Raw genomic sequence first — 24,916 nt, 5'->3', positions numbered from 1 at the left:
TATTTAACTACCTTAAATACACATACACTGAACAGTGAAACACCCAGATTCCTAAAACAATTACTTCTAGACCTAGGGAAAGACAGACACACATTAATAGTTGAACACTTCAGCATACTACTGACGACATTAGGCAAATTATCAAGGCAGAGAACTAACAAAGTAATCTGAAATTAAATTTGATGCTTGAAAAATTGGACCTAATAGACATCTACATAATAATCTGCCCAAAAGCTACACAATATATATTATTCTCATCTGCACACAGAACATATTTTAATATTGATCACGTATTCAGTCATAAGGTGAATCTCGACAAATTCAAAAAAATTTGAAATCATACCAAGCATACTGGAATAGTGGAATAAAAATAGAAATCAATACCAAGAGGAACTCTTGAAACCACACATTTACATGGAAACTAAAGTTGTTCATGACTGACTTTGGGGTAAACAATTAAATAAAGGCAGAAATTTTAAAAAAAAAATCCTTGAAACAAATGAAAATAGAGATGCAGCATACCAAAACCTCTAGGATGCGGCAAAAACAGTGTGAAGAGAAAGTTTATTGCACTAAACGCCTACATCGCGAAAACATCTCAAACTAGCAATTTAACATCACATCTAAAGTAACTAGAAAAGCAAGAACAAAGTAATCCCAAAGTTAGCAGAAGGAAAAGGATAATAACTAACATCATAGCAGAACAAAATGAAATTGTACCAAAATATATATGAAAAATTAATAAAACAAAAAATTGGTTGTTTAAAAGGATAAACAAGATCAATAGACTACTAGCTAGATTAACAAAGAAAAAATAGGAGATCTAAGTAAGCACAATCAGAAATAATAAAAACGACATTACACCTGATCCCACAAAGATATGTAAGACTCTCAGAGATTAATATAAACTCTTCTAGGCACACATACTTGAAAACCTAGAGGAAATGGATAAATTCCTAGAAACACACAAACTTTTGCGACTGAATCAGGAAGAAATGGAGACCCAGTAAGATTTCTGGAAATTGAATTAGTAATAAAATACCTATCAACCAAAAAAAGCCCTGTACCACACGGATTCCAAATGAATCCAGACATACAAAGAAGAGCTGGTACTAATGCCACTGAAATTATTCCAAAATATTGAGGTGGAGGAATTCCTCCCTAACTTATTCTATAAAACTAATATGGTCCTGACACTAAAATCTGGCAAACATACAACAACTAAAAACTACAGCCAGTATGCTTGATGAACATAGACACAAAAATCCAACCCTGCTCCCTCCCTCTCCCCCCCAAAAAAACTACGTGCAAATCAAATCCAGAAACACATCAAAAAATTAATTCACAATGATCAAGTATGCTTTATTCCTGGGATACAAGGTGGCTTCAACCTATGCAAATCAATAAATGTGATTTACACCATAAAAAGAATTAAAAATAACAAAACAATAATCACCTTAATAGATGCAGAAAAAGTATTTAATAAATTTCAAAATTCCTTTATGATTAAAATTCTCAACAAACTAGGAAACAAAGGAATACATATCAAAACAATAAGAGCCATCTATGGCAAACACACAAAAATCATAAGTCTGAATAAGCCAAGCCTTGAAGCATTCCCCACAAAACTGAAACATGACAAGAATGTCTACTCTCACCATTCCTACTCAACATAGTACTAGAAGTCCTAGTCAGAGCAATGAGGCAATAGAAAGAAATGAATGGCATCTAAATAGGAAAAGAGGACATCAAATTATCTCTCTTCTCTGATGATATAATTCTATGCCTAGAAAACCCTAGACTCCACCAAAAGACTCATAGACCTGATAAATGATTTCAATAAAGTTACAGGATATAAAATAAATGTGAAAAAAATCTGTAGCATTTCTATACATCCATATATTTAAGCTGAGAACCAAATCAAGAATGTAATCCCATTTACAATAACCATGAACAAAATAATATAACTAAGAATACACGTGATCAAAGAGGTGAAAGATCTCTAAAAGAACTACAAAACACAGCTGAAAGAAACCATAGACAACATAAATAAACGGAAAACCATTCCATGCTCGTGAGTTGGAAGAATCAATATTATTAAAATGTCCACATTATCCAAAGCAATCTACAGATTCACCACTATTCCTATCAAATTACTGATGTCATTCATTACAGAATTAGGAAGAAACTTTTCTGAAATTCATATGGAAAAAATCCAAATGGCCAAAGCAATCCTAGGCAAAAAGAACAAAACTGGAGGCATCACATTATCTGACTTAAAACTATACTACAAAGCTACAGTTACCAAAACAGCATGGTACTGGCACAGAAATAGACGCATAAACCACGGAACAGAATAGAGAATTCAGAAATAAAGCCATGCACATACAACCAACTAATCTTTGATGAAGTAGGCAAAAATAAACAATGGGGATAGAACACCCTATTCAATAAATGATGCTGGGAAACTTAGTTAGCCATAAGCAGAAGAATGAAACTGGACCCCTACCTCTCACCCTATATAAAAATTAACTCGAGATGGATTACAGATTAGATGTAAGGCCTGAAACTATACAAATCCTAGAAGAAAATCTTAAAAAATACTCTTTTGGACATCAGCAAAGGCAAATAATTTATCACTAAGACCTCAAGAGCAATTGCAACAAAACCAAAAATTGACAAGTGTGACCAAATTAAATTAAATAACTCTACACAGGAAAAGAAACTATCAACAGAGTGAACAGACAACCTACAGAATGGGGAAAAATATTTGCAAACAGTGCATCTCACAAGAGACTAATACCAGAATCTATAAGGAACTTAAACAATTCAACAAGAAAAAACAAATAACTCCATTAAAAAGTGGGCAAAGGACAAGAACAAACACTTCTCAAAAGAAGACACACAAGTTGCCATTAAATATATGAAAAAATGGTCAACATCACTAATCGTTGGAGAAATACAAATCAAAACCACAAAGAGATACCATCTCACACCAGTCAGAATGGCTATTATTAAAAAGTCAAAAAATAACAGATATTGGGTAGGTTGTGAGGAAAAGGGAACACCTATACACTGTTTGTGGGAATGCAAACTGGTTCAGCCCCTGTGTAAAACAATTTTAATATTTCTCAAATAAGCAAATATGGAACTACCACTTGACCCAGCAATCTCATTACTGTGTATGGACCCAAAGGAAAATAAATTATTCTACCAAAAAAAAACCACACTTTTATGTTTGTTGTAGCACTATTTGCAATACAAGTATATAGAATCAATCTAAGTGTTCATCAATGGCAGATTTCATGAAGAAAATGTGGCACGTATACAATATGAAATACAACTCAGCCATAACAAGGAATGAAATAATGTCCTTTGCAGCAATGTGGGTGCAGCTGGAGGAAATTATCCTAAAAAATTCAATGCAGAAATAGAAAACCAGATATCATATATTCTTACTTATAAGTGGGAGCTAAGCATTGAGTACCCAGGGACATAAAGATGAGTGCAATAGACAATGGGGACTCCAAACAGGGGGATGGAGGGAGAGAGGCAAGGGCCAAAAACTGTGTATTGGGTACCATGTTCACTGTTTGACTGACTGGATGAACAGAAGCCCAAGCCTCTGCATAACACAATATACCCTTGTAATAAATGTGCACATGCATGTATCTCCTGAATCTAAAATTTAAAAAAATATATAGAAATTAAGAACTCTTATAATTAATATTGAAAAAGCTACATATCAAAATTCATGGACTACATTTAAAGTAGCAATTAGATCTAATTTTACATGCCTACACTAATAAAATAATAAGCATAAATATGTTAAAATTTTAACTCATAAAACTAGTAACAAAAAGTGAACCAAATAGAAGTACACTGAAGAAAAAATGAAGATAAAAACTAAAATTGATGAGGCAAAGGACAGAATAAATAAAATAAATTAATAAATTAGAATTGTGTTTCTTTAAAAAAAGATCACACAGGATGCAAATCTAATCATGAAAAAGTAGGAAACACAAAAGTAGACTTAACTTTTGGTAAAGAAGAATTGGAAAAAAATAAGTGAACATACACACACATCATAAAAACACATTTGAAAACCTAGAAAATGGATTATTTCTTAGAAAAATGCTATTTATTAAAATTAACTGCAGTAGTGGTTAGGCATAAACAGATCAATATTCAGATGACAAACATAAAATTATGAAGGAACTATTCCTTAAAGAAACACTAGGTTTCCACAGAGGAAAAAACAATGTAGTTTTCACAGGAAAACCTTAAAAACATTTCAACCCAGACAATACAAATGCTGCATAAATTATCTCAGAGCACAGAAAATAAGAGGAAACTTCGTTTCTTTTTATGATGCAGATATTGCATTGATACCCAAGCCTGATAACAGTAACCTTAAGACATAGATGAATGTCCCTTAAAAATTTAAAAATCTTAAATAAAATATTAGCAGACGCATTTGAACATGGTAAAAAATGTGTTAGGCAATTCTTGCATTGCTACGAAGAAATACTTGAGGCTCTGTAATTTATCTTAAAAAATGATTTAATTTGATTCACACTTCTGCATGCCATACAGGCAAGGCATCAACATCTGTTCGGCTCCTGGTAAGGGCCTCAGGAAGCTCACAATCACGGCAGATGGCAAAAGGGAGCTAGCATATCACATAGCGAGAGCAGGAGTAAGTGAGTAGAGGAAAGGTGCCATGCACCTGTAAACAACTTGCTGTCACATGAACTCACTCATCGCCAGGGGATAGCACTAAGCCATTCATGAGGGATTCACCCCATGAGCCAAACACCTCACACCAGGCCCCACCTCCAATAGTGAGGATTACATTTCAACATGAGATTTGGAAGGGACAAATATCCAAACCATATGAGAAAATAATGCATTATAAATTATACCAAGAATGCAATGATTGTTTATTATATTGAAAATCTATTAATATAATTCACCATAATTTACATGATATCCATATGGTTGATAGAAAAGGCTTTGACATAATTCAGCATAACAAATAATAATAAATAATGCATATTATATATAAATAATGCAGAATATATATATATATATACAAAGAGAGAGACAGTCTTAATGCCAGTCTTGTGCTAGAATGTAGAACCCGAAAAACACCCACGATTTAAAAATAAAACAAGCAATAAAAAAACTGAAAATATAAAAATTGAGAAAGAATAAATAGAATTAACTATGCATGATAGAATACCTGGAAAAGCTTTGAGAATCAATAATAAAATTATCTCAAAAATGACTTCAGTAAGGTAGTGGGGTACTATATTAACACCCAAAAATTGATAGCATTCCTATTCACAAATAAGCACCAATTAGGTAGTAAAATTGATAAAACAATTCCAAAGCAACAAAAATATAAAACACTTATAAATAAAGTTAACAAAAATTATATTAAATGGAGAACACTGTAAAACACCCCTGAACATCACACATGTGACTTGGAGAAATAGAAAGACATCTCTTCTTCATAGTTAGAATGATTTTATATTATAAAGGTTTAGGTCTTCCTAAGTGTACTTATAAATTTAATGTGACTTAACAAAAAAATTATAATGAGAATTTTATAGAGCTAAGCATCTTAAAGTTTATATGAAAAAATAAACAGATAAATTTGCTGTAGAAATGTTGAAAAGAAAGAGCTATAAGGAGTTATTAAACCTCATAGATATTAAAACACATTATAATATATTTATAAGAAAAACAGTGTAGTATTGGTGTTTGAATAGAAAGACAGACTGACTGATGCAATAAAATAGAAAGTCCAAAAATAGACCCAACCATATTTATAAATATAGTATATAACAAATCTCCATCTGAAATCACTGGGCAAAGATTGTATTTTTAATAATCGTTGTTGAGACAACTGAAAAGTTATTTGGAAAAATGTGCAATTAGATATATTTCTCATACCATGTGCAAGAATAAGCTCCAAATTGATCATTATTTTTTGGGTAATCATCTAACCTGTTGCATGTATCAATAATGTATTTTTATTTCTGGGGAACATCTAGTGGTATATATATATTATTTTTGTGTCTATCTTTATGAGGGACAACAGTCTATAGGGATTTGTGTGTGTGTGTGTGTGTGTGTGTGTGTTTTCTTTATCTGGTTTTGTGTCAGGGTAATTCTAACCCTACAAAATAGATTGGGAGGTGTTCTACCCTCTTCTGTTTTCTGAAAGGGATTGTGTAGAATTGGCGTTGATTATTATTTTAACATTTGCAATCTATGAATCCTTTCGGATAAAGGAGAGAAAAACAGAGAGGAAGAAAGGCAGAGAGAAGAGAAAGCAAGAGAAAGAGAGAGGAGACAGATACCAGATAATGGAGGGATCTTCTTAACAATGTAATATGTAGTGTCCTATGGATGTGGAGAGAATTCAGGCTGGAAAATTATTATCTTGCAAGCATCATATTATCAATTAATTTTAAATATAATGGAAAACTATGATTCCAATTTCTGCTCTTTTCCACCACATTGTATTTCTTGATTTGAGTTTGGTCTAATATTGCTAATGGAAGACTTTAATTTGAGGGGAGGAAATGTCATCTTAGATTTTCAGCTTTTTGTAGAGATAGGGCCTGATAGGTGGGTGCATATGTTCTCCTTTGGATTTCAGATGGGTCACCTGTAGACTCTGAAATCATAGGTACGGATATGTGCATGACCTTAAAGTGTTTTCCTACAGGTCACTTAATAGTTAAAAGGGAAAAAATGTATTTATAGGGTGTAGAAATAAAAACAAAAACATATGATTATGTTATCAGAATTTACAGAACCAATGAGTATAGATGGACCTTGTATGCCTTCATATATGAGAGTCTGAGAAAAACACAACAACAATTTTGCAGTATTCTGTCTGAAAATGCATAACCTGAATCCAGTCATTAAGAAACATAATACAAATGCAAAATTAGAAATGCTCATTAAAAAAGAGATAAATGTATTCTCAATGATATCATTCAAAAATGTCATAAAGTAAAAGACAAACTGTAATTCTCATATTTTAAAGGAGACCAAAAATACATGATAACTGCATACAGTATTTTGGAAACTCTCCTAAAGAAAAAAATGCTATGAAGCCCATTATTGGTTTAAATGACCAATTGGAAAATGGACAATAAATTAAACTTATATCACTGTTAAATTTACTGATGTTTATAAAACTATTTGGTTATGTAGCGCAATACCTTCACTCTTCTGAAATGTACACTGAAATAATTAGTAAAGGGGCATAATATATGCATATTATGTTCAAATAGCTAAAGTTTCTCACTTTCACTCTATATATCAAATGAGTAAATGGAGGAAATGTTAGTAATAAAGAAATCTGATTAAAGGGCATAGAAGGTATTTTTATTCTTATTCTTGCAATTTTTTGTATGCTTGGAATGGTTTCCAAGTAAAAGGTTTTAAAAATGTAAATAGTTACCACGGTTCCCTCAATTAATAAAAGTGAGCCCTTGCAAGCTTGTTAGACATTAAGTTTCCTGCTCTATGCATTGTTACCCTAATCTGCAAGATGAAGATAATAATATTATCTACCTCATGATGCTGTTGTGAGGAGTAAAAATGTTAATACATGCAGGATGCCTAAGACAACGCCTGGGTGGTAGTAAACACTCTGTAAATGTTGGCTTCCAGTGTATGCTTGTTTTGGTGGCAATAGTGGTTATTACCATCGTCACTATTACGGACAATGTTAAGGGACCCCATGACAGATCTCAGATTGACACCAAGTGTCTTGATTCCCATTTCTGCTCTTTCCCACTACATTGTATTTCTGGGATTTGAGTTTGGTGTAATATTGCAACCCTAATTTGAGAGAAGAAAATTTCAGCTTAGTTTTCCAGGATTCTTTTTCCTTTCTTTTTTTTTTTTTTTAAGAGAACGAACATGATAAGTGGGTGCGTAAGTTCTCTTCTGGCTTTTCAGATGGGTCAGCTCTAGACTTTGAAATCACAGGTATTAACTGAGAGCTCAGCAATGAAACTTTCTAATATCATTTAGTGTATAGACCCTAAGGAGCTTCATTTATGACTCATAGAGTCTTGCACATTCTTTATGGCAATTTAAAAAACATCTGTAATGTACAGTTAACCCTTTATAGTTTACAAATGATTTTCATGTGTACTTTTAACTAAATGGCTCATCATAGAAACACCTACAATTTTACTGATGAAAAAGTTAAAGATCAATAAATTTAAATGACTGACTCAAGATTATGCACTTAATAATGGTAGTGTGTCTTATAAAGAAATTCATAGAATTATTAGCACATCACTCAGCACAGGGATTTTCTCATAATTTTCATTGGATTAATGTTAAAGAAAACTGAGATTGGATTCAAACATAGATTTTATCTCTGGTCCCAAACATTTCTGCTATGTATAGTGACATGAAATCCCTGGTTTTAGAAGCAGTTCATTAGCCTAACTCATCATAATTTGATTGTTATGAGTTCAAGTCTGCGTCTGACAGGTCTCTGGAATAAATGTTTTGAACTGGCTTCTAGGTAAGATTCCATCCTGCCTGGGAAAACAACTTGAAAAGTTTTAACTTAGGGGCTCATCAATTAGACTTTGTGTTCAAGACATCATGGCTTAAAGAAAAGAAAAAATCAATTCTAAATATAAAATGTTGAATAGAGATATATTTGAAAAAAAATTTCGGTACCCATGGGGGAAGCACTTGTCTCTATCTGATGCTGATCCAATCTCTTTTATTTGATTAATTGTTGAATCTATTGATGAGAGAGCCCCGTTCAGCCAGATTCCCCAGCCGCAAGGTCAGTGGACTGTGATTCCTCAGCGGGGAGGCTGGGGTCTGTGTGGAGGAGACTCCTCCTGGCACGAGCATTTTGAGTATGCAGAACACATCGGCACAGCCTAGAGCTGGCAGTTAGTGTACGCGCGGCACACACACACACACACACACACACACACACACACACACACACACCAGTGTTTTCCCCTCAAGTGAGGCAGCGTTAGCAACTGCAGTCCCAGCTTCCTCTGCTGAGGTACAAGCGGCCACTGCCTGATTTGTTGGAGGAGCGCTAGAGTCCAGTATCTGAGGGACCCGGCAACACGCAGCTGTCACAGCTAGTGGCAGACAGCCACTTCTTCCCAGCTGCTTCGCCAGCCCTGGCAAGAGGGCACACTCTTCCAAAAGCCAGCCTGCCTGGGGAGGAGGTTGCTCCACACTGAAGGTAAGACTGCTTCCTAGTCGCTTTCTTTTCTAATGTGCCAGCTACCTCACAATCCACTTTCAGGTAGGCTCTTGCCATTTCTTGTTTTAGGTATGGGAAAACCTTCTCAATCATAGCCTTTACTTTTACTGAGAAAGTCTTTTTTTTTTTTTTTTTTTTTTTTTTTTTGCTAAAGAAGCAGAACAGTAAGGGCTTGATAGTTTAGCAGGATTCTTCTGATTAAAGTTTTAGTGCAGACGGTAACTCTACTTCTCTCTCCCAACCCTTAGAAATATTCTGTAGATAATGAGACAGCCTCATTTTGTGATTCATAGGCAACTTCACATTTAGCATAAGCGTGCGCTTCTAACCTTTTCAGTTAGTTGACAATTGTTATGCAACTCAGCATGTGTAATTTAAAGACCTTTAAATGCTCTTCTTCTGCTGGGAAAAACATACCTCAGTCTTGTAAAATAAAAGCCAAGTGGTGGGAGCTATGGATTCAAACTCTTCTTTGGCATTTAACATTCAGTGATATAGACAGGAGTGAAAGTTGCTGAATCACAGAAGTTTAATATTCATGGAAATTGCTGTATTTGTCAAGGAAACCTAGGAATCAAATGTCTTTTCATGTTTTTGAGCTCTTATACATATACGGATGATGTGGATTTGAAGAGGGGAAGTATTTGTTTGCTATAACTCACTCTGTTGTGGCGAGGTGGCTAAAGTGATTAATTGACATAGAAATAATTAACTGGAGAGGATTTCTTCTGCTAAAATAAGCTAGAATCTAGTTGTGAATTTAGAGGTTTCTTAGTTAACAGATCTGTATTTATAAAACTCCAAACAAAACTGTATCTTATTGATTTGAGTCTCCTTGTTTAAGTGATATTAATCTGTATAAATTATCACCCCTAATATTCCTTGACTGTACATATTTTCTTAGCCAATTTCAGAGTAAAATAGTTAATAAAGAAAAATTTCAACAACTTGTTAATATCTTCACCCTTTAATATTCATTTTAATTGTTTCATAGACATAATTTCATGAGGAGTTTTATGAGAGACTGATAAGCATAATTTATCCAATTGATTTGAAATGATCATAAAGAAAATGCTCTTTAGAAGATGAGTCCCAAACACAAGTCAGGCTCATGGTGCCTCTGGGTTATCACAGAATTTAGCAACAAGAGTGAAGTTTGTGGTAAGCAGAGAATCAGAAGACACAGTTTTTGTGATTGTTTTTACAAGCATCACTTTGTATGTGTAACACACTTTTAAAAACATTAGTCTCTTTTCATTACTCTTCTGGGAAGAGCCTCCAAGCTATGGCATGGTGTCTTGATGGGGATGACCTCAGTTCTGATGGAGGAGCGTGACACACAACTTTGGGGCAGATCTAGATTTATGCTTAAAGGACAAGTTATCACCTGGGGTCAGGAATTTTCAAGCTCAAACATCCAGGTACTTTCTTTGATAACTCTAGGGACCTACCCTTTGAGCAAAAAGACCATGTACACAGGTTGTCTGCTGTCTCTTTGGAGGGTAGTAGAAAGAAAGAACGGTTACCTTCTTCACTGTCATTAATGTTTGATGCAAGTGATCCCTCTGCAGCATCCAATAGGGACTTTCACTCTTTAACAAATGTTTAATGTATATTATCTGGTATTGCCTTTAGTTCCCATAGTATTTGTAGTTTCTACATTGGATATTCATAAAGTAATTTGAGAAAATAGATTCTCTAGTCTGCTACACAACAACAAACACACAAAGAAAGCACAACTTTACTTTTTGTTACTTCATGCTTTAATTCGTAGTCAAACTTGCAATAGACCTGCTTATATTACTCTCTCCATGGTGATGTGGTAGCTGATGGCTCAGTTGATATCACTCTTAGTAAAATAGAGAGATCAGAAGGAGTGAAGGAGATAGAGGACAAAATTCTTTTTTTCATGTGGGGTGGATGGTGTGCACTTGGAGTGGAATCTTGGAGAGAGAGAAGATACTCTCTTTTTGTTTATGTTTTGCCAAAGATGTCCAACTCAGCCAGCAACCTAAAAGATCCAAAGATGTAATCTTAACCAGGCCTGCTGTGGAAGTGAAATGTAATTTAATTAAGTTGTTGGGTGAGCTTTCTCCTTCTTGGTCTTCCTCACTCACCTTTCTCCCCAGGTGAACAGATTTGTGAGGTAGGTTAAAGAGTTAGCCAATTACTTGCACATTATAGATCACTATTCAAAGCTGTCTTTTCTGAGAGGGAATCAATTTCATTTTGCTTACAACCAGAGGTCATGACTGTTCTGTCATTGTTCTGGCTCCTAGTCACCAGCCTTCTTAGTTTTTACACAATTTTGTTCCTACTGTATCTGATAACCATTCCTGGGCATCTTGGTGAATTGGTGTTTTGAGAATTTTATTAAAATAAAGTTAATGAATAAATACTATGGATTAAGCCAAAGAAGTGGGTTCTCAACAATGTTCAGTGCTGTTGGGTCACATACCTTTCAGTTCTTACCAATCTATGGGGTAGGATTGATGGTGCCGTCCACAGGCATTTCTACATATGCATGGTGACGTTGCAAACCAATGCTGACCAACGCAAAAGAAAGGGAAGAAAAAAAAAAGAAGAAAATCTATAAGCTTTTGTGAAATGCAAACAGGTGCCGAATACTAAGGAAACCATGTAGTTATACTCTTAAGGTGATTTTCACCAAATTACCTTGGACTATATACTAGCTCTAACAATGGCACGTTTTGCATGCACCCTTCAGGGCTGCGTTGAGTGATAGCTGTAAATTAGGATGAAGAGAAGAAAATGCTCTGCACTTTAAATATTGAGGAGAATTAGGATCCAGATGGTAAGGCTTTTTATAGCAATACATTGGATAATGTTACAAGCTTCTATGGCTACTGGCCTATTATATTTTCTCTAGTAAAATGCAGTTTAGGGAAGGGGTTCATTGCTAAGAGCAATCTTGCTAATCTAGAAAAGCGAATTTCCTTTCCATATTACATTTTTCAACTTTGTTGGCTTATTTTTTTTCCCTTTTCCTTATTTTTTTCCATTCTAATTCCAAACTCAATCAAAATTATATAATGTGAATTATTGTTTTATTTCAAGGTTGCTTTCTTTTCTTTCTCTCTCAGTACCTCCCCCCCCAACCCCCACTCCACTCTGCATATACCTGTCTCACATTATGAATGCATTTGAGAAGTCTGTGAAACCATTTGGACTTGGACACAGAATGGTTATTAGACAAGTCTCCATCTGGTTTTAAATGTCCCTAGTCTAAAACCACCTCATTTATTCTGTCTCTGTAGGATAGTTCTCTTTTTTTCATTTAGACAGGATCTTACTCTGTCTCCCAGGCTGGTGAGGAAATCTTAGCTGTAGCTCAGGTATTTCCTTGTTCAGGACTTCAGGTTTGCTCTGAAAGAATTACTTTTCTTCTTTCAACACCCTCTAGTGGGAATTTTATTATCTCCAGTCTCAGGGGCCACAGTGGCATCTCTGATCAGGCATAGGTATAGAAAGTGAGCCACCTGGTGGTAAAGAAGAGTAATTCTTACATTCTTAACAGCCTTCCAAGTTAACAGCAAGGAAGGACATTGCTAATTTTCTGTTACATTGCGAAGGGGTGTTTGATTTTATTAAAATGTACTTTAATGGTTTTTTTTTTGTTTTTCAAATGAATTGTTAGGTTACAAGTACAAATTCCTTCACTCTATGCTTCATTTTCTAATTTGATATGATCTCTCTCTTTCACCTCTTTTGTTTCTTGTGTGTACACATTGTGAGGAACACATTTATGTTGCTATGTATTTAATAATAAATATTCGTACACATTTTTATACATATTAAAGTATCAAGATACTTCACTGAAGAAAACATTTCAAAAAGAAAGCAATGAAATTACATGTTTTCCACTGGGTATTGATACTGCAGTTTGAATAGCTTAAATATAAAAATAGTTTACTGTATTTGCATATTCATACTTGAAAAAACATACAAAAAGAATAAAACAAAATAAAATTATACAATTATATGTGTGTGTATGCCTTTGTTCTAAATCAAAATATAGATATTAGGCATCATTTCCTATATATTTTTAAGACTCTAATCTAGCTAACCAATTACCAAGGCTACAGTAGCCCTTGTCTTACCTTCCTTATTATCTTTCCTTATACCTATCTTTCTGTGTGGGGAGTCAGAACTGACATTCATATAGGAGGCATGTCTCTTGGCTGAAAACAACTCTTTGGAAGTACAGATGTTAATGGTCTTTGGGAACTGGAGTTCTCTAAATATATATAGTAAGTGTAAAAGTACTGTGCAAATAAAGGACACCATTATTTCTGATGTCTTTTTTTTTTTCCAGTTTAGAAGACTTAGGTGCAGATGGGGTAGATCCCATTAAACCGGAATTGGTTTTAACTGAATTTTACATGGATCAAATAGAAAGACAAGGCTGAGTGTGGTGGCTCAAGCCTGTAATCCCAGCACTTTGGGAGCCCGAGGCAGGCAGATCACCTGAGGTCAGGAGTGTGAGACCAGCCTGGCCAATGTGGTGAAACCCCATATCTACTTAAAAAATAAAAATAAATAAATAAGAATAATAAAAAAAAAACTTAGCTGGACTCAGTGTCAGGCGCCTATAACCCCAGCTACTCAGGAGGCTGAGGCAGGAGAATCGCTTGAACCTGGAAGGCAGAGGTTGCAGTGAGCTGAGATCACGCAACTGCATTCCAGCCTGGGTGACAGAGTGAGACTCTGCCTCTAAAGAAAAAAAAAAAAAAAGACAAAGTTGAGATGTTAAATGGCAGATATTTCATTAATTCCTTAATTCACCTATTAACTAATGACACTAGAGAAAATACTGGCTAGAATCACATGTGTAGTTTCATTCTCTAAGTCTTAAATTAGTTCTTTCTCTAGATAGCCTCATCTTATCCATGTTGTCCTTCAACTTCAAATTTATTTATTTGGGCGATCACCCTGTGTAAACTGGTAATTCACTGTGCATTCTTTAAAAAAATAGCAGAAAGTTTTTGTTTTGAAATTATTGTTCACATATAAGCTATCTGTAGCTTGAAGTATGAATACAAACAGAAATTAATAATTTCTAGACTGGGTGTGGTGGTTCATGTCTGTAATCCCAGCACTTTGGGAGTCCCAGGCAAGAGCATCACTTGAGGCCAGGTGTTTGAGACCAGCTTGGCAACATAGTAAGACCCTCCCATTCTACAAAAAAAATAAAAATAAATATAATTAGCCAGGAGTGGTGTCACAGGCATATAGTCCTAGCTAGTCAGCAGACTGTGGCAGGAAGGATTACTGTGCCCAGGGGTTTGAGGTTGCAGTGAGCTATGATCATGCCACTGCACTCCAGCCTGGGTGAGAAAGCAAGATCTGGTCTCTGAAAACATAAACAAACAAATAATTAAATAAATAATAATAATTCCTGATTTAACCTCAGGAAACTATTATGTTATATTCCACTTGTTTGAGATTTAAATAGTGACAATAAGCTCAAATGTCTTGTTCTGTTTGTTGTCATTAGAGTAGAATCAGGTATAATAAAACTGTTCTACTGGTTATTCAAGAGCCAGCTCCCATGTCATTGTGAGGAAAGGTAAAGAAAATAATAAAATAAATTTTAATATATCAGGTAATATCCTTGAATATACAAACATTTAGAAAATTACCACTAAAATAGTAGATGCTCTTCAAAATTATTAAAATGTCTATGAATTTTTAATTGAGATTTTACTTATATATGTCAGTGATGGGAAGTACAATCACGACTTGGAATTTAGCTTGACTTTCACAAGCTGATGTCTCCTTCCTTGCAAGTCTGTAAGCTACAACTTGGTGAGATGGGTTTGCTACATGCACACAGATATGTAATCATTTTAATACACTACAAGTTGACAGCCAGAAAGCAAGAAAATTATTCAGTCATAAAGAATAGAGGGGAAAGGAATAAAAAGTTCTTTATTTCGCATGAGTTTAGGATACGAAGCATTGCAAGAAAAGCAACTTCTCCCGGCTCGTCTCTTTTCCTCCTCCCCTCTCTTCCCCTCTCTTCCCTCCCCTTTTCTCTTTTTTTTTCTTTTTGTTCCCCCTACCAATTCAGTATACTTATTTAACCTCCTCATTTTTCATTTAAGGCTCTAAAAATTCTCAGTCAACATTCACTCTCAATTGTGATGCATTCAGTAGTTAATTATTTTCCACAGTGTCCTTTAAATGTATGCAAATTAGACTTTTGATGAACTGGAATGTTTTACAGATTCTCTGCATAAATCACACATGGTTAAAAAAAATCAACCTGTTTAAGGAGCAGAATATTTTTGGACCTCCCTCATTTGCTACGGTGACTGAGGACATCTCAGTGCTGCTGGCTTCAAGTATATTCCTTCAGGGACAGCCTGCACACTTTTCAGAAAGACATATTTCTAAGTTTATTTCTAGCTTTGAAGAAAGCATATCTGCCTAGTAATGTGTCGATTGAAGCTGTGAATGGGCAGGGGTAGCAATATGAACTCTTCTGTTTTCTAGGCTCATTTTGCAAAGTAATGTTAATTTATGAATTGATTTATGCATTTGCTTTTATAATGATATTTATTACTATCATCATGATTATTTAAATAGAAGCAATAATTTGGAAAACTATTCCACTCTTTTTCTCTATACAATATTACAAAATAAAGCATTCTTGAAGTGATTATAAATTGTCTTACTGAATACTCAGTTAATTGGATAGTGTTTAATCATTCTAAATAATGTGCCATTTAGAACAACTCAAAAGGTTTTCTTTTATTTAGATGAAATCTTACATTCTATAGCAATAAAGATTTGATTGGCATACTTTTTATATATTATCTTTTCACATACCCAGCTACAATTGTTACAGGAAAGAGGTCCCTATCCAGACCCCAAGAGAGGGTTTTTGGATCTCGCGCAAGAAGGAATTGAGGGCAAGTCCACAGTGCAAAGTGAAAGCAAGTTTATTAAGAAAATAAAGGAATAAAAGAATGGCTATTTCATAGAACAGCTCTGAGGGCTGCTGGTTGCCCATTTTTATGGTTAATTCCTGACAATATGCTAAACAAGAGGTGGGTTATTCATGCCACCCCTTTTTAGACCATATAGGGTAACCTCCTGAAGTTGCCATGGCATTTGTAAACTGTCATGGCACTGATGGGAGTCCAGCAGCGACGACCACCAGCGATCACTCTTGTCGCCATTTTGGTTTTGGTGGGGTTTGGCTGACTCCTTTACTGAAATCTGTTTTATCAGCAAGGTCTTTATGACCTGTATTTTGTGCTGCCCTCCTGTCACATCCTGTGACTTATAATTCCTTAATTCTCTGGGAATGCAGCCCAGTAGGTTTCAGCCTAATTTTACCCAGCTCCTATTTGAGATGGAGTTGCTTTGGTTACAACGCCACTGATATTTCTCCCCTCCCTTTTATAAGAGAACCCTTAATTCTAAGGGTTGCAGAGGGATGAAGATCCATCTTTTTTAACTTCTTCAGGCTGAATAGGGGTGATGATATTTCTAACTATGAGGGTCTTTTGCATTCAGGGTAGAGAAGAGCTCAGTCAGAAAGCAATAGTATGGTAAGGTCCATTTATAACTCTTGAGTTTTGTCAAAAGATGATATTTGGAAGATGAATAAGTGTATAATTTAAGAAAGCACTCAGTAAGCTTGCCCTGTATTCCTACACAAAGAGTATAACAACAATATATTCCACAAGAGTAAAGCAAAATAGGTAAAGTTATTCCAAGTAGACTAAATTAGAAAGCTTTTCATGAAATGAGTAACTCTTGGAACTAAGCTGATATGGGGTTGTTAGCCAAATGTAATGTGCCTAGAATTAGAATAGTGATTTAGATATTTATATTACCCATCCCTCTTGTTCTGAGCAGCAGTCAGAGATCACTGGTTGATTCACAGGAATAAGTGGAGTTAGGCTAAATTGCAGAAACAAACTTAAAAACCACTGATGAGCCTAGAATTTATTAACAAGTGTACCATAGTTCTTGAAACATAATATTTCTTTTTCCAGTTTCCCATTTTTACTAAAGACAAATAATGGTAAGACTGATTTGCTTTATTATACTTGGACTATTTGTATAAAATGCAATAAGAATGACTATTTTTCATATAGGCTCTTTTTAAATTGGCTTTCCCAGAACTCTGTTCCATAGAGGGAATTTTAGATACAACTTTTTTAAAGCTGAGTCCAGCCATGGGTTTGTACCCTTAAATACTTATGAGTTGGGTAAAGTTCTTTCCTCTTGAGGTCCCAGAACTTGCAGCTTCTGAACCTGTTAGAAAGTGACATTCTTTACTTACCACAGATCAGAAACCCTGAACAAGGACTGTTGTAGGCAAGATATAAGACCAGTTCCCCTAAGGGCTTTTTGTGGCTCTACAAGTCAAGTTTGATTCCTCAAAGGAAAGCACAACATTCCAGTCAAAGCCTTGGTAAAATAACCAATTTCTCCAATTGTGTACTGTTACAAAAACAAAAACAAAAACAAACAGATTCTTATTGCACTTATGCAAATAACTATTTTGCCGTAAGTTAAGAATACTCACAACTAGTTTCCAAATTCTGGAGAAATCAGGTAGAGAGAAAGAAATATGCTCTAAATTTTGTTCATAGGAGTACATTTAACTTTTAAAAGCTGTAAATAGCTCGAAAGAAAAGTTTTCTTGACTCTGAAAAATAAAACAAAGGATTAGAAACGTTTTAAGCAAGTTAAAAAGACTAGACTTTTTCAGTTTAGTCCATGTAGGTTAACTTTTGTTTGATAGTTATGAACATTTCAGTTCTTTATGAGAGTTTTGAAAGTTTTTTTCCTCTATTCTGATGTCACAATTTCCAAAGTTATCAGAAAATTTGCATTTAAGAACACCTGTTAGAGTTCTATAATTGATTTTAAACCACCTTCTAAAGAGGATTAAAACAAGAAAACAATTGTCTGTGGATGATAAAAAGTTTTAGGACAGCCACTACTAAAGCCACAATTGATAAGGAAATTTGGTTACTTATGTGGCACACAAAATTTTACCTAACAATTATAATTACTAATAACATACACTAAGTTACATAGAATTATAGGAGTTGCCCATAACTTTGGAACATATAACGATAACGCATTTACATAAATATAGCCCAAAGAAAGCACAATACCATTTCACATTTTATAATGCTTCCAGTATGGTTTTTATACCAAATAAGCCACATTTTACCTTTACATTAATGTATTATTAATGTTAGACCCAATTTTTAATAAAACCTTATAGACATATTTACCCAATTTTAATGTTTAACCATAAGGTAAGATTCTTATAAGCTTTTAATAGCCCTTTACTTTTTTTGCGTGTGAAAGAGCAGATTAGTGCTTTAAGAGATACCTGTTGTGCTTTAATTCTAATGTTTAATTTATGGAAAAACTGAATAATACCCCTTTAAATTTAGCCAGTGTCCACATATAGAATTTATTTTACAATTGATTTTTTACAAACCTCCCACAACTGTTTAAACCTTTAGCTTTAGTCTATTTAACTTAACAATTTTTTAACCCTTTAGACAGAAAAAATTACATTCTCATGCCTTCTTATAATCTTTTACCAAAAGTACATTCTACTTTCCTTACACACCTTACATGTAAAACTGTTTCTTTAATAATCTTAGTTGCATGTTACAATGTTAACTTTTAGTGACTTTTATTTTTGGTGAAAACCTTGGTAAGTAAGGGATTTTAATTGTGTACTAGGTGTGGGGCCTAGCCTAGAACACACCAGGCAGAAATGCAGGTAAGGGCTGACTCTCCAGCATAGCTAGGGGCATGGCTAACTTCAGGTGTCCCCAGGTCTTACCTTGCTTAAGCAGGCAAGTTGTACAGTAAGAGTCATAGCGGCATTTTATGAAGCATTTAGGAGGCCTAAGAACCTTTGAATTGTACGTTTCTTGCATAAATTCCCTTTCACAAATCCTTTCATTACTTACACAGACCATCTGAGACATTTTTGGACTTTTTGGCTTGCCCTAAACATCCCAACATCCCTCCTTTTAAACAAGCAGTCATTTTATTTTAGGACAATAATTTACCATACAAGATTCTTTCTTAAATAAAATCTCTTTCTTTATAGTTTTCTTTGTATAGCTAGGGGGCATGGCTAATTCCACATGTCCCCAGGTCTTATCTAGAATTTAATGGCTTTATGGTAGGTAAATTGAACAATTTTTAAAAGTCAAAGAAACAGTTTGATCTTAAAGCATTTTGCAAATTTGATATTTAACCTTAATTTAGACCAAATGTCTACATTTTAAAGACATTTTATTTTACCAGTAGTTTTTAAAACTGTCTTTATTTCCAAAAGATTACTAAAGTCACGTGAACAAAAAGACATTATTAAAGTTTCTATTTTTCTGACAAAATATTTTATTTAAGTGCTTATTTCTTTAAGCCAATTAATTAGACCTCTTTTATATATAAACATACAACACATATAAATACACAGACAGAAGATTTAGCACTTTTAAGATTTTTCATTTGCCAGTTTATTGATTGAATTACTGGCTTCAGGCTGGGGATCATGGAGGAACAGGACCAAGAAAGCATGCGTTTCTGGGCCAGATAAGCAGCAAATAAGCATCTGAAGGCAAAGACAGATTCCTAAAATTAAGGGTGCCATTTATACTAGTTCTTAGATCCCCAAAGGAGGTAAATACTGCAGGAGAACACAGTGCGGTGATTTTACTTTGCATTTCATTGCAAGGCAACCCAAAACCAATCAGCCCATTTTGTAATCAGCCCATCATTCATGGGAGTGTCATCTCCCAGTGGGAGGTGGGGAAGTTTTCTTATTTCCAGGAGGCCAAGAGCATGCTTCTTTGATCCAAGTGTGCAAAGAGTCAAGTATCCCTCCATAACTACTATTAGCCATCTTTTAAAGTATATTTCCTCCCTAGCTGTTAAACACTAAAGCTCTCTTATAATGCAAAGTAATTTCTGGTATCCTCAAAACTCAAAACCATCAGATAACATAATGCAAAACAGAACAGAGCCTTTGATTTTGAGAGGGATCTATTTACCTTTAACTCCTGGGGTTTCATGAGGAAAACAGAGGGTTTCTTTCCCCAAAGTGGGGTCTGTGGCACCTCCTCTGTTTTTCCCAAGGAGTTCCAGGCTACTAGAAGTTATCTTAGGACATCTCATGTGTGCATTAAGAGTAGCAAGACAGAAAAAGAGAGAGAGAGAGAAAAAATAATTTAGTTGATTGAGAAGAAAATTTTTTTTTCCAGAAAAACAAGTTCTAAGAAGAGAAAAACATAAAGGCCTTTTAAATATATCTATAGCTTGTTTATCCACTTTTAATTCAGCTGACTTTTAACCATAGCACTTTTTAAAAAAGAAATTCTTTCAGATCTCTTATTACCGGATTTTAGTTATGCCAAGCAGCCAATATTTCTATCTTCTAAACTTTACCAAAGGTAACCTCCTAGGTGCTTAGAGAAAGGAAAATTTGAGAGAGTCCGCAGAGGGGAAGAGAACAGACAAGGTCATGCAGTTATTAAATGACAAACGACTTTCTTTCTAGGCAGGGAATTGAACCCAGACTACCACTGTGAAAGTGCAAAACGGTAGCTACTGAGCTACAGCACAGGGCAAACTTTGTTTTCTTTCCCAGAAAGATTCTAGAGTAGTTAATTTCGAGCTTGCGGAGGCTTTTAACTATTTAATAGAATTTTTAGAGCTAACTACAACCATGAACCGTAAAATTCCTGTTTCCTGGAAGGTGGAGACCAAGAGAATGTACCGCCACGTGGTTAAAAGGTTGATAGCTTTTAAAGGTTAAGGTTAAAGGGTGATGCTCCCAAGGACATAAAACAATGTGGAGACTTAATCCAGGTTTTTTGTTTGTTTCAGAGACCTGTAGCCAAGTTTATTACTGTCCAGCTTGCTGGATCATCTTGAAAAGCGGGCTTACAGGTGTTCTAAGCCTGTGTTTTATCCTAAAGTACCCCTCGACACAGAAAAAACGAATTCATAGCACAAAATACACCAGCTTAAGACTAGCCTCAGAATTCTTTTTCGCATTAATCCAAACTTTACAGAGGAGATAAACACTGATTATTTTTACCACTCATTCAACCGTTTGCACAGAGAGAGAGAAGCCCTACACCTGACTGGTAAGATATTCTTACCCTTTGCTGGCATTCCAGGCTTCTGGGGTCTCATTCCCTGAAAGGCCCTAGTGAACTGGCTTGCCGTACCATTATCCTGGGGGCCAAAATGTATCATAAAGGAAAATTATTATTTTTTCATTCTGGCCAGAGCAAAATACGTGTGATAAAGCAGAGACCTTAGCCACTCTGCTTAGCACCCAATATCAAACTGCCAAGGCTTAAATTTGTCCCCAGATGGGCCCCATCATCTTTAATCCAACCTCAGACTTGGAGTTTCAACATGTGGTCTCTGGGTAAGATGGTTGCCCTGAGTAACAGAAAAGATAAAAAAGGGAAACTAGAGAAGGAAAGTATTGTCTGTGCCAGGGTAGGGAAGGCAAAATGATCAGGGAGGCCAGAGAAAGACCCACCCATTGCAGCGACAATGAAAAGCTCAGGTGGCTGCGGCAGCTATTGTGAAGGGATTTTTTTTCCAGCAATCCTATTAGCTCTCAAGTTTCCCCTTTTAGGTAAGAAAAACTCCATGTCCCGAGATCTTGTACATGCCCAACCCTGTCACCCACAGCCATCAGCAAAGAGTGCAAGACAGATGAATTCAAAGAGAATAGCAGTTAACATCTCACGCTGCCGAACCTGTTTTTAACCAAGAGGGACTTTACCGAGAGGGGCCTCCAACCTCCCTAAATCTTAGAAGGGACTCTAACCCTCCTAAGTTGGGTCTCTAACCCAAGGTCTATCAAGCATCCTTGCCTTTTATTAAGAGGGGACTCTAACCCACTCTATCTTAGGAGAGACTCTAACTACCCTAAATTGGGCCTTTAACCCAATTCCATCCTTTACCTGGGTACCCCACCACTTACCCAAAGTCAGCCAATCAGTGCTGCAGTCTATTTCCTTTGCATTGAGGAGTCTCCTCAGTATCTTCCCTTCTGTCGTTTGCTAGAAATATGTTACAGGACGCCAACACTTACCCAAAGGTAGACATTGAGTCAGGGTTTCTGCACTGTAGTCCCTTCGTGGTCACCAGCAATATGTCACAGGAAAGGAGTCCCGATCCAGACCTCAAGGTTCTTGGATCTTGCGCAAGAAAGAATTTAGGGCGAGTCCACGGTGCAAAGTGAAAGCAAGTTTATTAAGGAAATAAAAGAATAAAAGAATGGCTACTCCATAGACAGAGCAGCCCTGAGGGCTGCTGCTTGCCCATTTTTTTGGTTATTTCTTGATGATATGCTAAACAAGGGGTGGATTATTCATGCCTCACCTGTTTAGACCATATGGGGTAACTTCCTGACATTGCCATGGCATTTGTAACTGTCATGATGCTCGCTGGAGTGTGGCAGTGAGGACCACCACTCTTGTCGCCATTTTGGTTTTGGTGGGTTTTGGCAGACTCCTTTACTGCAAACTGTTTTTTCAGCAAGGTCTTTATGACCTGTATTTTGTGCTGACTTCCTGTCTCAACCTGTGACTTAGAATGCCTTAACCATCTGGGAATGCAGCCCAGTAGGTTTCAGCCTAATTTTACTCAGCTCCTATTTAAGATGGAGTTACTTTGGTTCAAATGCCTCTGACACGATGACTATATTATGTATTCATAGTTTTCTTTAATTTTAGGCTGATGGTTTCCAATCCATTATTTGTTCCTCCTTGTGACTGAGTTGTGTTTTTTTTTTTCGTTTGACCCTCCACTGTTATTTTTTTTAAATCCCTTACTATTCTCCTTAAATGTAATAATAACAACAAAACAATATTTCCAATACAAAAAGAAAAATAATATGCTCAATGTTTCCTCACGTTTTTGATATTTTGCATTACAGTGACTGGATGTAAAGTATCTGCTTGGCAAATGCAAATAAGAATCTGGATTTGATGGGATGTTTCCTGGCAGGGTCAGGCATGCCTGCAGAATGGTAAAATAGACATTCCTCTTGATTCAGGGGATCTGATGTTGGATAACTGAGGAAGTACAAAATGTTTAGCTAAGGACTTGAGGAACAAAGAAAGTTAGTAACAGAAAACCAGAAAATACCATTACTAGCTTATATACCTGTCAATTTAAGTGTCTGTTTCCCTTCAGACTCCAGAGGAATGTCATCGTGAGCACAGTGGGAAACTCACGTGTTATTCTTTCTGATTTCACTGACCACCTTGGTCATGTTATCTAGGTTTTCTTGGGCTTATCACAGATTTCACATTTGTAGTCAAGTATGACTGATGTGCCTTAGATTTCCTGGATTCCCCCTACTTTTTCTTTTGTCGGCAAATTAGGTACATCCTCCAACCATAGCCTTAGGTAAAAAAGAAAACTATTGAAAAGAGCATTAAAACACCTCTCCAATGTAGACAGACACATTAACCAGTCTCATTTACCTTTAAAAATATATGAGAATAAGAGAAAAGACAGAGATTTAAGTAACCATGGCAGGTTTGACTTAGTTAACATTTCTGAGAAAATATCAATTTTCAATGTTTAAAATTCATCATATATGTCCTATAACTTAGAGGCAAATAATAATAATAACCTTCCAATGCATATAGCCACTTACTATTTACAAAGAAGTTTTACAGACATTTTGTATGTTATATCTTCTCTGTAAATTTCTTGAGTTTCAGGGCTCTTTCATATAGATCAGAGTTATTAAGATCTTCACAATGATAAAAATTACTGACATGATTTTTTAAATAATAACTTTCCAATAACCACTCATGAAAATTATTATGAGTTAACGTTTGTGAGATGGTGCAAAAAAATTAGTATTTTAAGCTAGTTTTTCTAATTATCACATTCACAGAAGATTGGCAAGTACTGAAATAAATCTTCTGTGTTCCACTGTGCCATGTACAAGTAGGCACGTGATTTTTAAAACAAATAAAATTCAACTTATTTTACCCTACCTAATAAGACCTTTTTAAATCTTAAGTCTGTAACCCAACTTAATTAGCATAGCCAGTCAGCCACATTCTCATCAGTGAATTCAGTATGTAAGCCTTCTATGTCACCTGCACTCGCACCTATGATTTTGAATAGGATGCCATCTAACATCCTGCCAGAAAGTCTCCCTCTGGCTTGATAATGCTGCAATAATTCACTTTGCCAGCAGTGGTTAAACTACAAATTCATTTAACTATACATCCTTTATTCTATATGCTTTAAATCTATTAGTAAGGATATGCCTCATGTGAGACTTTGTCAAAACTTTACTGAAACCACTACCTCTTAAAATAATTCCTTATTAAGAGACCCAGTGTGAAAGAAAAATATATTGTTGGCATGATTTCTTGTAAACACAGGTAGGCTTGTATAATCACTACTTTCTTGAAATCTTTACAAATTCTATGAATGCTAATCCATTCTAAAAAATTGTTGTAAAGTGAGTGATAAACTTACAAGTTTACTTTTTCTCATCATCAATCTTCAGGAGACTTTTCTATTCTCTTAATTACTGAGAGGAGTTTTACT

The 24,916-nt window shown here is 35.3% G+C and overlaps 2 annotated features.

The window, feature by feature from the left end:
- Window positions 8,576-9,276: an enhancer, noted in NCBI's record as "H3K4me1 hESC enhancer chr11:81358977-81359677 (GRCh37/hg19 assembly coordinates)". NCBI's record gives its function as "activates a minimal SCP1, AML or CMV promoter by ChIP-STARR-seq in naive H9 embryonic stem cells {active_cell/tissue: H9 hESC(naive)}" and the evidence as "EXISTENCE:reporter gene assay evidence [ECO:0000049][PMID:30033119]".
- Window positions 9,277-9,978: an enhancer, noted in NCBI's record as "OCT4-NANOG-H3K4me1 hESC enhancer chr11:81358275-81358976 (GRCh37/hg19 assembly coordinates)". NCBI's record gives its function as "activates a minimal SCP1, AML or CMV promoter by ChIP-STARR-seq in naive H9 embryonic stem cells {active_cell/tissue: H9 hESC(naive)}" and the evidence as "EXISTENCE:reporter gene assay evidence [ECO:0000049][PMID:30033119]".

Source organism: Homo sapiens, chromosome 11, assembly GCF_000001405.40.
Source record: "Homo sapiens chromosome 11, GRCh38.p14 Primary Assembly".
In the NCBI taxonomy this organism is placed as follows: Eukaryota; Metazoa; Chordata; class Mammalia; order Primates; family Hominidae; genus Homo; species Homo sapiens.
The sequence above is the reverse complement of the archived record's forward strand: the minus strand, read 5'-3'. Positions and strand labels throughout refer to the sequence as shown.